The sequence below is a fragment of the Homo sapiens genome, chromosome 9 (genome assembly GCF_000001405.40).
Source record: "Homo sapiens chromosome 9, GRCh38.p14 Primary Assembly".
Lineage (NCBI taxonomy): Eukaryota > Metazoa > Chordata > Mammalia > Primates > Hominidae > Homo > Homo sapiens.
This window is the reverse complement of record NC_000009.12, coordinates 79,531,974-79,551,322: the sequence shown is the minus strand read 5'-3', so window position 1 is coordinate 79,551,322 and position 19,349 is coordinate 79,531,974. Positions and strand designations below refer to the sequence as shown.

The 19,349-nt window shown below is 39.4% G+C and overlaps 1 long non-coding RNA gene across 4 annotated transcripts in view; it reads left to right on the top strand.

Annotated features, from left to right (window-relative positions):
- The window catches only part of LNCARSR (lncRNA regulator of Akt signaling associated with HCC and RCC), a 50,080-nt gene that overhangs the window by 16,630 nt on the left and 14,101 nt on the right, over window positions 1–19,349 (top strand). For all 4 annotated transcript variants that reach the window (NR_184113.1, NR_184112.1, NR_184111.1 and 1 more), the window contains exon 2: window positions 18,989–19,106. This is a non-coding gene — a long non-coding RNA (lncRNA regulator of Akt signaling associated with HCC and RCC). The remainder of the gene's footprint in view (window positions 1–18,988; window positions 19,107–19,349) is intronic.

The window sequence follows — 19,349 nt, the reverse complement described above, 5'->3', positions numbered from 1 at the left end:
AGGTAGCATTGCCCCCTCATGTAGCTCTTGTTTTCCCCATGTCTAAGTGGGAAGTTTTGATTGGTATTATCCTAATTTTCTGCCATCATTAAGTACTAGTGTCAGAATAGTCACATTTGTACCTAATGGACCGGAAGAGACATAATCCCATGATACTGGACATTAAGCAATTGGCATTTAGGTGGGCTGCTTGTATCTGTGGTTATATGTAGGATTATTGCATTTTGTAAACTGTTAGCTGTATTGGTTATCTATTTCCACAAAAATTCTGCTAACATGCAGCCACAAAATTTGGTAGCCTAAAACAACAACCATTTATTTAGCTCATGAGTTTGTGGCTTGGTTGGGTAGTTCTTCTAGTCTTGGCTAGGCTTGGCTGATCTTGGCTTACTCATACATCTGTAACTTAGCTGGTGGTTTGGCTGATGGTTGGCTGGTCTAGAATGGACTCACCTAAAACAATCTGGCTCTGCATACAGGGTCTTCCCTTCATCAGATTAGCCTGGGACTGTTCTAATGTTGGTGGCAGGGTTTTAAAAGAGTAGAAGTACATAGGGCCCTTAGAAGTCTAGGCTCAGAACTAGCCCCCTGTCACTTCTGTCACTTTTATTGGCCATAGCAAGTCACAAGGCCAGTGCAGATTCAAGGAAGAGGGTAATAGACTCCACCTCTTAATGGAAGTTGCTGCAATCACCCACAGAGGCATGTGGGAAATTATTTAAATGGTAAGAAGAGAATACTGAGAGAGCTAGGTGGCCATGAAATGGACAGTGGTGGAGATTTATCTCTAAGATCAGCCCAACACTCTTTTCCAAGCCACACTCACCTTGTCTACTCTAAGAAAGGCTTATTTTAACTACAAGACTTACTTGAATGGAAGCTGACAACTTCCCATAGACTTTGCTTCCTTGGCCATACTGATTGCCAGAGATAGGTGCTTGAATCAAACTAGGTTAATCAGAGTACCCCATATCTTGCTTTAATGCTTGGTCTAGGAGTTGACAAGGCCTAATTTAGGCCATTCAAAATGCTTCTATAGGTGGGACAGGTGAGAATATATGAATCCAAGGACTGACATCAGCCACAGAAGCACAAGCAAAACAAGCCTGTGGCAATGAAATTGACATCCAAAGAGAAGCAGTCCCTGGACAGGAGGAGAATAGAACCTTGGGGGCATTCTGTTCCTGGTACAGTTATCCCTGAACCCTGTCATACCCATCCTTTCTATGAGCTGGTTTTGGAGGTCAACTTTCTCTCTTAAAAATAACTGAAGCTGGGAGCTGGTTCATTGTAACCAAAGTAGTCTGATAATAGGTATGATTTGGGAAATAGACCTCCTGCTTCAAAACTTCCTCTCAATGTGTTTGCAATTCTATTAGCAGTTGATCATTTGGGTTAGGAAGGTATATGAATAAAAAGGAGCCACACATTTTGACACCTCTATATATGGTCTGAAAATTCTGATATAGGTGTAATTTGGGAAATAGACCTCCTGCTTCAAAACTTCCTCTCAATGTGTTTGCAATTCTCTCTATTAGCAATTGATCATTTGGATTAGGAAGGTATATGAATAGGAAGGAGCCACACATTTTTTTTAATTATTATTATACTTTAAGTTTTAGGGTACATGTGCATAACGTGCAGGTTTGTTACATATATATACATATGCCATGTTGGTGTGCTGCACCCATTAACTCGTCATTTAGTATTCGGTATATCTCCTAATGCTATCCCTCTCCCCTCCCCCCACCCCACAACAGTCCCCGATGTGTGATGTTCCCCTTCCTGTGTCCATGTGTTCTCATTGTTCAATTCCCGCCTATGAGTGAGAACATGCGGTATTTGGTTTTTTGTCCTTGCGATAGTTTGCTGAGAATGATGGTTTCCAGCTTCATCCATGTCCCTACAAAGGACATGAACTCATCATTTTTCATGGCTGTATAGTATTCCATGGTGTATATGTGCCACATTTTCTTAATCCAGTCTATCATTGTTGAACATTTGGGTTGGTTCCAAGTCTTTGCTATTGTGAATAGTGCTGCAATAAACATACGTGTGCATGTGTCTTTATAGCAGCATGATTTATAGTCCTTTGGGGATATACCCAGTAATGGGATGACTGGGTCAAATGGTATTTCCAGTTCTAGATCCCTGAAGAATCATCATACCGACTTCCACAATGGTTGAACTAGTTTACAGTCCCACCAACAGTGTAAAAGTGTTCCTATTTCTCCACATCCTCTCCAGCACCTGTTGTTTCCTGACTTTTTAATGATCGCCATTCTAACTGGTGTGAGATGGTATCTCATTGTGGTTTTGATTTGCATTTCTCTGATGGCCAGTGATGATGAGCATCTTTTCATGTGTTTTTTGGCTGCATAATTGTCTTCTTTTGAGAAGTGTCTGTTCATATCCTTTGTCCACTTTTTGATGGGGTTGTTTGTTTTTTTCTTGTAAATTTGTTTGAGTTCATTGTAGATTCTGGATATTAGCCCTTTGTCAGATGAGTAGGTTGCAAAAATTTTCTCCCATTCTGTAGGTTGCCTGTTCACTCTGATGGTAGTTTCTTTTGCTGTTCAGAAGCTCTTTAGTTTAATTAGATCCCATTTGTCAATTTTGTCTTTTGTTGCCATTGCTTTTGGTGTTTCAGACATGAAGTCCTTGCCCATGCCTGTGTCCTGAATGGTATTGCCTAGGTTTTCTTCTAGGGTTTTTATGGTTTTAGGTCTAACATGTAAGTCTTTAATCCATCTTGAATTAATTTTTGTATAAGGTGTAAGGAAGGGATCCAGTTTCAGCTTTCTACATATGGCTATCCAGTTTTCCCAGCAGCATTTATTAAATAGGGAATCTTTCCCCATTACTTGTTTTTCTCAGGTTTGTCAAAGATCAGATAGTTGTAGATATGTGGCGTTATTTCTGAGGGCTCTGTTCTGTTCCATTGGTCTATATCTCTGTTTTGGTACCAGTACCATGCTGTTTTGGTTACTGTAGCCTTGTAGTATAGTTTGAAGTCAGGTAGTGTGATGCCTCCAGCTTTGTTCTTTTGGCTTAGGATTGACTTGGCAATGTGGGCTCTTTTTTGGTTCCACATGAACTTTAAAGTAGTTTTTTCCAATTCTTTGAAGAAAGTCATTGGTAGCTTGATGGGGATGGCATTGAATCTATAAATTACCTTGGGCAGTATGGCCATTTTCATGATATTGATTCTTCCTACCCATGAGCATGGAATGTTCTTCCATTTGTTTGTATCCTCTTTTATTTCATTGAGCAGTGGTTTGTAGTTCTCCTTGAAGAGGTCCTTCACATCCCTTGTAAGTTGGATTCCTAGGTATTTTATTCTCTTTGAAGCAATTGTGAATGGGAGTTCACTCATGATTTGGCTCTCTGTTTGTCTGTTATTGGTGTATAAGAATGCTTGTGATTTCTGCACATTGATTTTGTATCCTGAGACTTTGCTGAAGTTGCTTATCAGCTTAAGGAGATTTTGGGCTGAGACATTGGGGTTTTCTAGATATACAATCATGTCACCTGCAAACAGGGATGATTTGACTTCCTCTTTTCCTAATTGAATGCCCTTTATTTCCTTCTCTTGCCTGATTGCCCTGGCCTGAACTTCCAACACTATGTTGAATAGGAGTGGTGAGACAGGGCATCCCTGTCTTGTGCCAGTTTTCAAAGGGAATGCTTCCAGTTTTTGTCCATTCAGTATGATATTGGCTGTGGGTTTGTCATAGATAGCTCTTATTATTTTGAGATACATCCCATCAATACCTAATTTATTGAGAGTTTTTAGCATGAAGGGTTGTTGAATTTTGTCAAAGGCCTTTTCTGCATCTATTGAGATAATCATGTGGTTTTTGTCTTTGGTTCTGTTTATATGCTGGATTACGTTTATTGATTTTCGTAGGTTGAACCAGCCTTGCATCCCAGGGATGAAGCCCATTTGATCATGGTGGATAAGCTTTTTGATGTGCTGCTGGATTCGGTTTGCTAGTATTTTATTGAGGATTTTTGCATCAATGTTCATCAAGGATATTGGTCTAAAATTCTCTTTTTTTGTTGTGTCTCTGCCAGGCTTTGGTATCAGGATGATGCTAGCCTCATAAAATGAGTTAGGGAGGATTCTCTCTTTTTCTATTGATTGGAATAGTTTCAGAAGGAATGGTACCAATTCCTCCTTGTACCTCTGGTAGAATCCGGCTGTGAATCCATCTGGTCCTGGACTTTTTTTGGTTGGTAAGCTATTAATTATTGCCTCAATTTCAGAGCCTGTTATTGGTCTCTTCAGAGATTCAACTTCTTCCTGGTTTAGTCTTGGGAGAGTGTATGTGTTGAGGAATTTATCCATTTCTTCTAGATTTTCTAGTTTATTTGCGTAGAGGTGTTTATAGTATTCTCTGATGGTAGTTTGTATTTCTGTGGGATTGGTGGTGATGTCCCCTTTGTCATTTTTTTATTGCGTCTATTTGATTCTTCTCTCTTTTCTTCTTTATTAGTCTTCTAGCAGTCTATCAATTTTGTTGATCTTTTCAAAAAACCAACTCCTGGATTCACTGATTTTTTTGAAGGTTTTTTTGTGTCTCTATTTCCTTCAGTTCTGCTCTGATCTTAGTTATTTCTTGCCTTCTGCTAGCTTTTGAATGTGTTTGCTCTTGCTTCTCTAGTTCTTTTAATTGTGATGTTAGGGTGTCAATTTTAGATCTTTCCTGCTTTCTCTTGTGGGAATTTAGTGCTATAAATTTCCCTCTACACACTGCTTTGAATGTGTCCCAGAGATTCTAGTATGTTGTGTCTTTGTTCTCGTTGGTTTCAAAGAACATCTTTATTTCTGCTTTCATTTCGTTATGTACCCAGTCGTCATTCAGGAGCAGGTTGTTCAGTTTCCATGTAGTTGAGCGGTTTTGAGTGAGTTTCTTAACCCTGAGTTCTAGTTTGATTGCACTGTGGTCTGAGAGACAGTTTGTTATAATTTCTGTTCTTTTAGATTTGCTGAGGAGTGCTTTACTTCCAACTATGTGGTCTATTTTGGAATAGGTGTGGTGTGGTGCTGAAAAGAATGTATATTCTGTTGATTTGTGTTGATTTGGGGTGGAGAGTTCTGTAGATGTCTATTAGGTCCGCTTGGTGCAGAGCTGAGTTCAATTCCTGGATATCCTTGTTAACTTTCTGTCTCGTTGATCTGTCTAATGTTGACAGTGGGGTGTTAAAGCCTCCCATTATTATTGTGTGGGAGTCTAAGTCTCTTTGTAGGTCACTCAGGACTTGCTTTATGAATCTGGGTTCTCCTGTATTGGGTGCATATATATTTAGGATAGTTAGTTCTTCTTGTTGAATTGATCCCTTTACCATTATGTAATGGCCTTCTTTGTCTCTTTTGATCTTTGTTGGTTTAAAGTCTGTTTTATCAGAGACTAGGATTGCAACCCCTGCCTTTTTTTGTTTTCCATTTGCTTGGTAGATCTTCCTCCATCCCTTTATTTTGTGCCTATATGTGTCTCTGCACGTGAGATGGGTTTCCTGAATACAGCACACTGATGGGTCTTGACTCTTTATCCAATTTGCCAGTCTGTGCCTTTTAATCGGAACATTTAGCCCATTTACATTTAAGATTAGTATTGTTATGTGTGAATTTGAGCTTGTCATGATGATGTTAGCTGGTTATTTTGCTCATTAGTTGATGCAGTTTCTTACTAGCCTTGATGGTCTTTACAATTTGGCATGTTTTTGCAGTGGCTGGTACCGGTTGTTCCTTTCTATGTTTAGTGCTTCCTTCAGGAGCTCTTTTAGGGCAGGCCTGGTGGTGACAAAATCTCTCAGCATTTGCTTGTCTGTAAAGTATTTTATTTCTCCTTCACTTATGAAGCTTAGTTTGGCTGGATATGAAATTCTGGGTTGAAAGTTCTTTTCTTTAAGAATGTTGAATATTGGCCCCCACTCTCTTCTGGCTTGTAGAGTTTCTGCTGAGAGATCAGCTGTTAGTCTGATGGACTTCCCTTTGTGGGTAACCCGGCCTTTCTCTCTGGCTGCCCTTAACATTTTTTCCTTCATTTCAACTTTGATGAATCTGACAATTATGTGTCTCAGAGTTGCTCTTCTCGAGGAGTATCTTTGTGGCATTCTCTGTATTTCCTGAATTTGAATGTTTGCCTGCCTTGCTAGATTGGGGAAGTTCTCCTGGATAATATCCTGTAGAGTGGTTTCCAACTTGGTTCCATTCTTCCTGTCACTTTCAGGTACACCAATTAGAGATAGATTTGGTCTTTTCACATAGTCCCATATTTCTTGGAGGCTTTGTTCATTTCTTTTTATTCTTTTTTCTCTAAACTTCTCTTCATGCTTCATTTCGTTCCTTTCATCTTCCATCGCTGATAGCCTTTCTTCCAGTTGATCGCATCGGTTACTGAGGCTTGTGCATTCATCATATAGTTCTCGTACCGTGGTTTTCAGCTCCATCAGGTCCTTTAAGGACTTCTCTGCATTGGTTATTCTAGTTATCCATTCATCTAATTTTTTTTTTCAAAGTTTTTAACTTCTTTGCCATTGGTTCGAACTTCCTCCTTTAGCTCGGAGTAGTTTGATCTTCTGAAGCCTTCCTCTCTCAACTCGTCAAAGTCATTCTCCGTCCAGCTTTGTTCCGTTGTTGGTGAGGAGCTGCGTTCCTTTGTTGGAGGAGGGGTGCTCTGATTTCTAGAGTTTCTAGTTTTTCTGCTCTGTTTTTTCCCCATCTTTGTGGTTTTATCTACCTTTGGTCTTTGATGATGGTGACGTACAGATGGGTTTTTGGTGAGGAGCCACACATTTTGACACCTGCATATATGGTCTGAAAAGCCTTCTGACTCAGACCTTGCAAACCTGTTGTCACCTTTCAACACTCAGCTCATCCACATTTTGAAGTTTTTTCTCTTCCTTTTCTGCCACCTCTAAATTAGCAGGCTTTTCCTCTTTGTGCTCCTAAACTATTTTTGACACATTCCTAGGGTACAACTCATATATCATATTATATGCTCACAGCTCTATTTGCATCTCCCTAGTTAAATTGTGATTCTTTCCTTTGGGCTATACATTAAAAAAATATTGTTTACTTTTGTATTCTTGGAGCATAGTATTGCATGGCTTTTAATAAAAACACAAGTATTCTAAAGATTAGTCTATTAAAACTTTAAGCCATTAATACCTTAGCTTGAATTCACTGATAAACGTTATTTAAGAACATACTTATGCAACCATCAGTAGTTCTAAATCTTGGCTGCACAGTGAAATCACCTGGGGAGCTTTTTAAACAAATTGATGCTGGAGCCTCACCCCAGACCAATTAAATCAAAACTTCTGGGATTGGGGCCTAGGCATCAATATTTTTAATAGATTTTCAAATGGTTCAAATATGCAGCCAAGATTAAGAACTACTGCTGTGTATGCGGTTTCTGTCCTTTACGAAGAACTACAGCGGAAAAAAGATTCCATCTAGTTGGGAGGAAAGCTTCAGGAAAGTGGTGACTTTTGAATTAAATCTTAATGGGTGGGTAGAATTTCAGTAGGGAAACATAAGGGGAGAAAACAAATGTGTAACCATGGGAGAAGCAGCTATGTATAGAAGATGGGATATTCAGGTAAGCTACAGTGTAGGGGTGTCCTGAGAAATAGCATTTACTGAGTATCTACTCTGTGCTAAGCATTTTACACACATTTCTCAATTAATCATCATCATTACTTTCTGAAAAAAATAACTATTTTGTGGATGAAAACACTGAGGCATAGGTAATTTAAAAACTTGCTTAAGGTTGTATAACTAGCTGGTGGTGGATCTGGGACTTAAGCCCAAGTCTAGGCTGATCTCCAAACCAATGCATGGAGCTGGAAAGTGGGTTGCACCTGTTGGCAGCTACCTTGGTTTCCTGCCTCTGTATTCTCCAACTGAAGCTATCAAAGGCTCATAGGAGCAGGCTTATGACCATCTGACTTCTTGAGTAAATATCAACAGGGTTACTGCATTTGGCAGTGGCCTGAATTCCCCCTGCAGGTGGGGCTTTGTATGGGTTGCTCTCCAGAGTGAGCTCTGGTGGCCCAACCAATGGCTGGCTGCCTGCCTGCCTCCACCCAGGTTCAAGCACCAAAGGACCAAGGGAAGCTTACCTCTCCCTTAAGCTGCAGAATCCCGACTCCTTTTGATGACCCAGATTTACCAGAATTATGTCTCTGAAATATTTGCTCTATGTCTCCAATCTTCCATATTTATTTCACTCCTGATTTTAGAAATGACCACGGGGCACTATTCCCAGACACCACGAATGCCCTCTTCCAAGGAGGCCACAGCACCCTGACCACTTCCCATCCAAGTCCTATTTTTTCTTCCTTCCAACTGGCCTCATGCTGCTAAGCCACATGCCTGAGTCAGCCAAGTTAAGGGACAGGCCAGATTGTGCCTGTCAAGCTAAGCACTAAAGATTTATTGTTAAATGTTCTTTAACAGGAGAGTGCTAGATCAAAAGGGAGACCAATAGGGAGATTTTTCTAGGAGAATTGGAAAGTGAGACTAACTGTAGTTCAGAAATATATTATTTAGAACTCTCTTACTGCATGTGACAGAAAACGCAATTCAAACTCATCTAAGCAAATGGAAGGAGGAATTGGCTGATATGACTGAAAATTCAGTACTCATTATCTTCAGGCAAGGTTTGATCCAGGGGCTCAAACAATGTTATCAGGAATCATTCACTTTCTCTGTCTTGCATTCGTGGGCTTCATTCTTGACCTCTGTGTGGGTGCTCTAAATCTCTAAGATTATTTCATTGTTAGCACTAGTCATCCCAGCAAAAAAGACAATTTTATTAGCACGCCTTCCCAGGATTCAGAATTAACTATGTTTGAATTAACTTGGGCTTCTGCCTATTTCTAAACCAATCAGTGTGCCCAAAGAGATGGAATTTTGATGGTAGGGCAGGACTGGCTCATGTGCCCACTCTGAAAAAGCAATATGGCTAAGGAAATTCAGGGCTTAGGTAGCCTAAGCATGGATCACAAGATCCATCTCAAGCCACATGTTCTGAAATTCAGAGTGGGGCTAACTTCCCAAAGCAAATTTGAAGTATTGTACCTGGAAAAGAAGAAAATAAATATCAAAAAGGCAAAAGCAACAGATGACCACTACAGAAAGCTATTTTGGAAATCCAGGCCTTGCCCAAATAAAGTCTTTTCTAACATGTGGCAAAGACAAGGAATGTAACAGGGTTGTCTTCATCAGCCTACAGTTCTCACATCTGCAACAGCACAGACTGGTGCATGGCCGCCAGACAAATCAGACCAGTGAGGAGCCAGTGAATTCTTTCTCATCTCTTCTGCTAAATATGGGTTAAGCTATGGGGCAGTCCAAGCTTTAGGAAATTTATAGCAACTTCTCAGCATTCATGTTAATAGATATCATGAATAATTGAATCCCACTGGTAAATTCAATATGTCATTTTATATAAACATTTTACTTTTGTCACCAACCTTTTTGTCAAAGCTGTTAACAAGTCACTGAATTAACTTATTGAAGGGTTCCATTTCTACATAGTATGGACTATCATCTGATAAATAGAAAAGCAGGCCTTGCAGTCTAGAGGTGGAGAAGCATCAAGCCTGAGTAATCTACAATTGGCTATTTATCTTTTGATATTCCAAAGTTGAGTAAGAATTATTATTTATTTCTTTATAATTTTTTAATGTTTTAAGCGTTGATGTTAGGTAATATAGATAACCCCCAGGTTTGGTTGATTGGCATGTTTTACGAAAATCAGCTTGACATGTTAGTACAGCAGTTTCACACTGACAGATGCTATGTGGTCAGATGCACAGTTCCATCATATTTCTTAGAATTTCATTGAACAAAACTGACATGGGATAAATGTAAGGCCTCTGGCATACAAAACTATTAGAGCTTCATATGTAGGACTTTAATATAGATTCGACAAAGTGATCCAACTTAGCTCCCAAGTGTTCACGACACTCATTTAAGGAAAGAAAGGAAAACTGTCAGTTCAGATGGAAAGTCACAGAGAACATTTGTGAATGGTAGGAGACAACAACTAGACTGAAATCAGCTTAGAACTTTCCAAGTCCTCCATCTCCCCTCAGTTCATGCCCTCTCTGATGTCTTTTCTCTTGTTCTTTCTCCATCTTTGACAGTTTAGTATATCATTTAATTAGCTATTAAGGAAAAGTTTTAAAGATCATCAATCAACTTTCTCAATATTAAAATAAAAGATATAATATACTGTTTTCAGAAAGGCAATGGACTGCTTAAAATTGAGGGCTCTGTAGTCTGACAGCCTCCAAAAGCCCCAGTCATTTCTGGTGATATGATTTGAAGAAGTTAATGGACTTCCTTTAGCCTTAGTTTTTTACCCGTATGTTAAAAGGAGACAATAATATTACCTACTTCCTAGGTACTTTAGCACATATAGTAAGCATTCAATAAGTGATAGCTGTCATCATCATCATCACCAACACTATCATCAACAATTTATATGTCTAGAAAAAAATATCTTTTTTGAGAAATGTAGAAGTCAAGAAAGTCTCCATGAGGGCATAGGATGATTTATTAATTATATATATGATATATAAAATCTGCCACAAAAAGATGTGATCAGCAGAGTTTTTTTTTTTTAACTTTAAGTAAAATAACTTTACTTAAGTTCTAGGATACATGTGCAGAACATGCAGGTTTGTTACATAGGTATACATGTGCCATGGTGGTTTGCTGCACCTATCAACCTGTCATGCATTAGGTATTTGTCCTAATGCTTTCCCTCCCCTTGCCCCCATCCCCTGACAGGCCCTGGTACATGATGTTCCCCTCTCTGTGTCCATGTGTTCTCACTGTTCAACTCCCACTTATGAGTGAGAACATGCGGTGTTTGGTTTTTCTGTTCCTGTGTTAGTTTGCTGAGAATGATGGCTTCCAGCTTCATCCATGTCCTTGCAAAGGACATGAACTCATCTCTTTTTATGGCTACATAGTATTCCATGGTGTATATGTGCCATATTTTCTTTATCCAATCTATCATTGGTGGGCATTTGGGTTGGTTCTAAGTCTTTGCTATTGTAAATAGTGCTGCAGTAAACATATGTGTGCCTGTGTCTTTATAGTAGAATGATTTATAATCTTTTGGGTATATACCCAGTAATGGGATCGCTGGGTCAAATAGTATTTCTGGTTCTAGATCTTTGAGGAAGCGCCACACTGTCTTCCACAATGGTTGAGCTAATTTCCACTCCCACCTACAGTGTAAAAGCGCTCCTATTTCTCCACAGCTTTGCCAGCATCTGTTGTACCCTGACTTTTTAATAATCTCCATTCTAACTGGTGTGAGATGGAATTTCATTGTAGTTTCGATTTGCATTTCTCTAATGATCAGTGATGATAAGCGTTCTTCATATGTTTGTAGGCCATATAAATGTCTTCTTTTGAGAAGTATCTGTTCATATCCTGCGCCTGCTTTTTGATGAGATTGTTTGTTTTTTCTTGTAAATTTGTTTAAGCTCCTTGTAGATTCTGGATATTAGATTTTTGTCAGATGGGTAGATTGCAAAAATTTTCTTCGTTTCTGCAGGAGAGGTTTTTAGACACAGGTCTGATAAGATTCTTCTTGTTTTAAGATCCATTAGCTCTTGCTATTAATGCAAAGGATTGTGCAGGATGTCTTGGAACATTTTATTTCAGCCAAGCAAACACAGCACGGGCACTGTTGCACATAAGGAGAAATAAACATGTTTACGCAATGCTCCAGGTTTTCAGAAGTGCCTTTAGTCACATTTTTCTTCATTAGCATTAGCCTGAAGCCCTTAGCATAAGCCCTGTGTGAACCCATGTGTAAATGTACAGATCCCCTTCCTGTACTCCTCTATAACCCCTTGTTCTGCTTATTGTCCACACATCTCTCCATATCCACATGCCTTTTTTCTCTATCTCTGCCCCTGGAGAGCTGACCTGCACCAACCAGCTACCTTGTTCTTTGGCTTCATTGGGATTTATGATTAGGATGCGTCAGTACTGTGAGGTTGGGGTATCTATTCCTTAGGCTCACCCTGTCAGCATGCTGTCCATTAGCTGTTTCCCTCCCTAAGGTAGCCTTTCCATTAAGGAATGCAACCCAGCTTCCATTGACTGCTCCATCCTTTTCCCTTTGGTTCCAAGAGTGATAATAGCTCCCTGCTTGTGAGCCCGGCACTGCCCCCAGCTCCGGCAGTGCAGGGGCTGCCTGATTCCTTGCTGATTTCCCTAAATCCTTGCCCACACATTTGTGAAGAGTCTATTAAACTCCCCTCAGCAGTTTACTTTGAGTGGGCTGTTTTCTGCTGGGTTTCTTATCTATTCCCTACATATAGCTTAGTCTTATACACTACAGACAGAAAATTGACAGAAAATTCTGATAGATAAACATTTCTTCCACTTCAACACATTAAAAAACACCAATAAAACAAAAAAGGTATTTTTTCTAAGTCTTATTGCCATAATTAGTAACTGTTTTTCTACTTATTTTAAATAACATACACCAATAGCAGAAATGCAGTATTAACAGAAATCTATGTGAAAGGGAAATTTACTCATGATTTTATGACCCCACACGCTAAACTTCTTTTATTTTTTTAGGTTGTGTACTTATAGAAAAGATACATTTTCTTTTATTTTTATTTAACATAATGTTATATCATGAATTTTCCCCAGATGCTTATAATTTTAAATGTTTTTTATTATTCCATTGAGAACATACAGTGTACCTTTGACATTTTTCTTCTTGTGTATCATGAAGGTTGCAAATTATTTTTATTTAGGGATTGTTATGAAATTTTATATAGAGCCATATATGTTTCTTTGGAAAGATGTTCAAAGAATTCATTATTGGATTCAGATCTCATAATTGGAAACAAATTCACACACATCATAGTCTTTAATTAGCACATGCCAAACTTTCTCTCTTTTTACTGTTGGAAGTAACTTCGTTGATATTATGTTTTTATGCTCCTGGAAGTGGATCTCCTTATAACCTTTTTACCTGATCTCACACCCCTTTAGATTTTGTTGAAACAATTCTGCTACACAATTATAAGTGCAAAGTGGGGAAAAGAATTTCTGAAACATAGGCCAAAAAAGCTCAAATGTGAACTGAGAGAAAACAAAAGAAAAAAAGCATTTTTTGCAGAGAATAAACTTTAGTAACTTTTAGTATAGAGCACTGTATTAGTCTGTTTTCACGCTGCTAATGAATACATACTTGAGCCTGGGTAATTTATAAAGAAAAAGAGGTTTAACGGACTCACAGTTTCACATGGCTAGGGAGGCCTCACAATCATGGCAGAAGGTGAAAGAGCAAAGGCATGTCTTACATGGCAGCAGACAACAGAGTGTGTACAGGGAAACTGACCTTTATAAAACCATCAGATCTTGTGAGATTTATTGGCTATCATGAGAACAGCAGTGGGTAAAAACCCACCCCCATGATTCAATTACTTCCCACTGGGTCCTTCCTATGACAAGTGGGGATTATGGGAGCTACAATTCAAGATGAGATTTGGGTGGGGACACAGCCAAACCATATCAAGCGCATAGGTAAAAATATGGCCAGATTAATTCCCTCTGCTGGGTTGACTCACAGGCTATTTGTGTCTTTGTAGAAGACCTGTCTCTATGCAAATTTCTAAGTTGGGACAAGGCTTCACAATGGTGCAGAATCCCAAACTGATTCTCATACATTTTTCTACTAAGTAAATATATTCCTGAATTTATCAGGAATAAACAAATTTTCTACTAAGTAAACATATTCTGAATTTCTGAGAAATTCTGAAATCACCCCCGAGTTGTCTAAAATGAAGCAACAAATTGGGACCATGTTTCTTTAAATATATAATTAAAACTTATTTACAGCTGGGTGTGGTAGCTCATACTTGTAATCTCAGCACTTTGGAAAGCTGAGATGGGAGGATCACTTGTGCTCAGGAGTTGAAGACAAGCTTGGGTAGTGAGACTGCATCTCTACAAACAATTTAAGATATTAGCCAGGAATGGTGGTGTGTGCCTATAGTTTCAGTTACTTGGGAGGCTGAGGTGGAAGATTGTTTGAGCCCAAGAGTTGGAGCCTGAAGTGAGCTATGATTGTTCCACTGCACACCAGCCTGAGCAATAGAGACCCCATTTCTAAAAAAATAAAGCAAAACCAAACTTATTTGTAGTAACATATTCTTATTGATTAGTTTGCTACATGTCTTAAAACAATAACCACAAATGTAACCATTATTTTTTAGATTCTATATTGTCTAGAGTATTGCTATTCAAGGAATGGTCTGTAGACCAGCAGCATTGACATCACCTGAGAACTCTATAGAAATGCAGAATATCAGGTCCTACACAGATTTCTAAATCAAAATATGCATTTTAACTAGATTCCCAGGTGATCTGTTTGCACATTAAAATTTAAGAAGCACTGAATGTATTCATATTTATCTAATAAATGTGTTTCCTACTTATTTTCAGACATTTGGATCATAGATGCATAAAGGGATTTTAGAAATGATCTAACCCTGCATTTCTTCCCCCTGTGTATTCCATGGACAATCATTGCATAGAATGTCAGTAGGGGTTATGCTGAAAAAGTGCAGGAAATGCTACTGGTTAAATAATGCAAACAGTTTTCTTATTACTGGTTTCTCAGAATCGTTAATAAGCTAATGTGCATTGTGACTCTCCAGGGAAGGGGGATGAGATATAAAACAGTGAATGTATTGCAAAACATGTAAACATAGGACATTATTTTCACCAGATACCTTACAGGACTAGTGTACCTATCTTAGTCTGTTTGGGCTGCTACAACATAACACCTTAGACTGGGTCACTTATAAGTCATAGTAATTTATTTCTCACAGTTCTGGAGTTTTGAAAGTCCAAGAACAAGGCGTCAGCAGATTTGGTGTCTGGTTAGGGACCTCTGCTTCCAAGAGGCAACTTATTGCTGTGTCCTCACATGGCAGAAGGATGGAAGGACAAAAGGGCAAAAAGGATCAAACAGGATCCCTTAAGTTCTTTTATAAGGGCACTAATTTCATTCAAGAGAGTGTAATCCTCATGGCTTAATTACCTTCTAAAGTCCTCACCTTTTAATACTATTGCACTGGGGATTAAGTTTCAATGTATGAGTTTTGAAGGCACACATACATTTTAACCATAGCAGTACCCTTTGATACATTTTGAAAAGTATTCAGTTAATATGAATATCTCATTTAACAGACTCATATTTTTAAATTTCATCTTATTATTTGACAAATATAAGGTAATCTATTCTAACTTCTTGTTGATTTTTAATAGGAATGTGACTGCTGCTGCACTGGTTGTAAAAATAGACCCAAACTGTAATGTGTTATTCATATGAGTCCAGGGGTTTTCTAGGGTGAGAAAGTAAGCAGGTGTCAAGTACTATGAATGTCTGGGATCTTATTCTACTTGCAAGCCTACTACAAGTTAGCCCATAATAGTTTCATGGAAGTTGGCAGAAGACATGAAATTCTTGGGTCAGAGACAAATGACTTTATTACTCCTACCATAGCAAGCAACATAAGCTTCATGTTTATGTCAGTTCCCCCAAGTCGCCCAAGTCCCACAGGAGCAATATGGATTGTCCCTGGTGAGTGCTGCTCATGGAGAGAGCTTATGCCAAAGCTAAGGATGCTGGAGCTTAGAGAACCCACAACTTTTTAAATTAGCTGGAAGCATAGCTGCCTTTTGCCCCATAGGGAGATATCATCTTTATTATATGGTACAGTAAACAAATCTGTCCTTTGCTTCCAAGGGAGACCCTATCTATCTTTCAAGTTTGTTCACTACACAAACTTTCTTGAAAAGACAGCCCAGAACAAAGGGATTCTATGCCTTTTTTTAATAGCCTTGAGTCAAGAATTGCAGGGATTGAGTGCTTTTGCTCATAGGGTGTGCAAAACAACAGCAACAACAACAACAAAACAAAAAAACCTGAGAGACCCATGGAGAATTGTATCCCAAATTTTCTGGGGGTGAGAAAGGGAGTAGGTGTTCTACTGCATGAAGTTATTCAGTAATTCAGACTGATAGTGAGTCTACCATGTTCAACATGTGGCTTCTAAAGTCACTCTGGCTGTGTGTGTTGAGGTGGGGGTGGAGTTCATCATTCCTGACTGTTGGAAGGGCAAGAGTTTGGCAGTGCATACATGTGAGGTTTTATGAGCCAGGTTTGGAAGTGGTGCATACCACTTGCTAACACTCTATTCCCTAGAACATGGCCACATGGCCACAACTCATTGCACAGGAGAAGGGGAAATGTAGCTTAGCTCTGTGCACAGGAGGAAGGGGAGAACAGGTTTTGAAGGCCACTCTACAGTCTCTACAACATTGCCAATTTTGGGTGACTTAGCTATTAGTTTCTCTGCCTTCATCTCAGGTAAAAAGGTGTAAACGTACACATAAATGCCTTGGGGTGGGGCTTTATATCTCACAGAATTTGGGGACTAGAAGGGCCCTTAGAATCATTAGCTCCAGCCATCTTTCCCTCCTTTCACCTCCAGTCATTTTAGAGGGCAAGAAGAAACGGAAACTCAGAGAAGTTAAATGGCACAGCTTCATAGCTTACTAAACACAGCTGGTTAGTCAGCTGAGTTGAGATTTTCAGATCTCTGTTCCACTACATTTTGACCTAGATCAAACTTGCAAGCTCACAGGACCATTTTGTATTTTAAATTATCATTCCCCAACTACCTGTTTTTTATTTTGGGATTTTTTTTTTTTTTCGAGATAGGGTCTCATTTTGTCACCTAGGCTGGAGTGCAGTGGCACAAACACGGTTCACTGCAGTCTTGACCTCCCGGGCTCAAGCGATTCTCTTGCCTCAGCCCCCCAAGTAGCTGGGCCTACAGGCTTGTACCACCATACCCAGCTATTTTTTTTTTTTTTGTAGAGACAGGGTTTCACCATGTTGCCCAGGTAGTTCAAACTCCTGGGCTCAAGTGATCCATGCATCAGGGCTTCCCACAGTGCTGAGATTACAAGCATGAGCCACTGCTCTGGGCCTATATTTGAAAGTTTGAGTGTCGAGATTTCTTAAATCTTCAAAAATCTATGTATATTGTTCATTCATTTAGGATTATTGAACCCTATTATGGCAGACACTATTCTAGTTGCTGGGAATACAGCTGTGGATGGGCAAGGCAAGGTCCCTGTTCTTATGGAGCTAGCACTGAGGTGAGATTCCAGAATATTTAGAATATGATTGACTTTTCAACATGAGAGACATAATGGCTAGTTTATGATATAAATGGTTACATATGAATTCCAAAAACTTATACTTATTGTCAGCTTAAGTCAGATAGCATAGACCTTAACAGCTTTTAAGTTTCTTTACAACTGGTTTATAGCAAGATTCCCTTTGTATTTAATATAACTAACCTTTCAAAATAAGCCCTATGCATTACTTCTATAACAAATGAGTTATTATTATTATTTTATTGTTGCCTTTAGGTTAACAGGTTTTATTATGTTAAAGACAGCTTTATTTCAAGTCTCAAAACAGATTGGAACATTTTTAACAGAAATCTCATTCGCATGTTTTGATTTATCAAAGCATTTTATGTTTACTTAAAAGAATTCTTTCTGTTCCCTAGAGAAGTCCATAATGTACTCAGTACAAATTGAACATCAGAAATATAATGTAGTCAAATGACAGAATAAAATTCAAGAGAAACTGCTGAAGCTTTGCTCTTTAAAAGAAAAATCTGTATTTCTGTGTTACATTGTGTGTATATATTATGGAAATATCTGAAAGATACACAGCACCCATGCACAAAAATATTGTTTATGAACAAGTATATATAATGCAGTTTATTGAAAAAGAGTTCAATTTAAAGTAATAGTACATGAAATAAGCACAGTGTGGCATGTTGCAAAGTGGTCTGAATCGCAAGTCTCAAGAATCAGGATCTAATCTTGACGGTGCTTAAAAAATTACACAATATAAATATTTGCATAGCATTTTATGGCATAAAAAGCTTTTTTTTTTCATTTAACAATAGCTAGCATTACTGAGCACTTACCATGTACCAGACATGGTGATGTTATTAATTCCTACAACACCTCTATGAGGTAAGTGTCTACTCCCTCTTCAACACTCCACTCCCCAACCCCACCCTCCCTGACCCTCCCGAGGAAATCAGGACTCCCCTCTTCCCAAGCAGTGATACTGAACAGTGCCACTGTCTGCCACCAATACATGGTTCCCTCCTTCCAGGACTCAGTTCCGGTATAGAGTGCTGACTAGTTGGTGGATAGTGAAGGCCAACTAGGTACAGAGCCATATTATTAATTATTATTATTATTTACATTAAAACTTTTTTTTTTTTTTTTTGAGATGGAGTCTCACTCTGTCACCCAGGCTGGAGTGCAGTGGTGCAATCTCGGCTCATTGCAACCTCCACCTCCCAGGTTCAAGCAATTCTCCTGCCTCAGCCTCCCGAGTAGCTATGATTACAGGCGCATGCCACCAAGCCTGGCTAATTTTTTGTATTTTTAGTAGAGACGGGGTTAGCCAGGATGGTCTTATCATGTTAAACCACCGCATTAGCCAGGATGGTCTCAATCTCCTGACCTCGTGATCCGCCTGCCTCGGCCTCCGAAAGTGCTGGGATTACAGGTGTGAGCCACCACACCCAGCCTAAAACATTTTTTTAAATGAAGGGGTCTTGCTATGTTGTCCAGTCTGATCTGGAACTCAGGGGCTCAAGCAATCCTCCCACCTCAGCCTCCGCAGGAGCTGGGACTACACAGACGCACCATCATGTCTGGCTCTTTTTGAAAATTTCTGTGTCTCACCAGGGTCAACAGGAGAATTAAGCAGGCCCAGAGTTCCCCCAGAGTTCTCAGGCATTCATCCTTAAGTTACATATTTTACAGACCTCCCCAAATCCCCTTTTTATTATCTCTTTTGACTTCACCCAGGTGCAAGCCCAGAGGCAGTCTATACCCCAACTCAACTGGCTGGTCCTCAATGCTGCCTGCTTCCGTGCCCAACTTAGAACTACACATCTGCTGCCTCTTGGTAACATGTCATTATAAGGTAGGGAGTGGGTTTCCGTTCTTGGTCACACTATTATTATTATTAGAGACACAGAATCTCACTCTGTTGCCCAGGCTAGAGTGCTTTGGTGAGATCACAGCTCACTGCAGCCTCAACCTCCTGGGCCCAAGTGTTCCTCCTGCCTCAGCCCCCGAAGTAGCTGGGACTACGGGTGCGCCACCACATCTGGCTAATTTTTTTTTTTTTGGTAGAGATGGGCTTTCACTATGTCGCCCAGGCTGG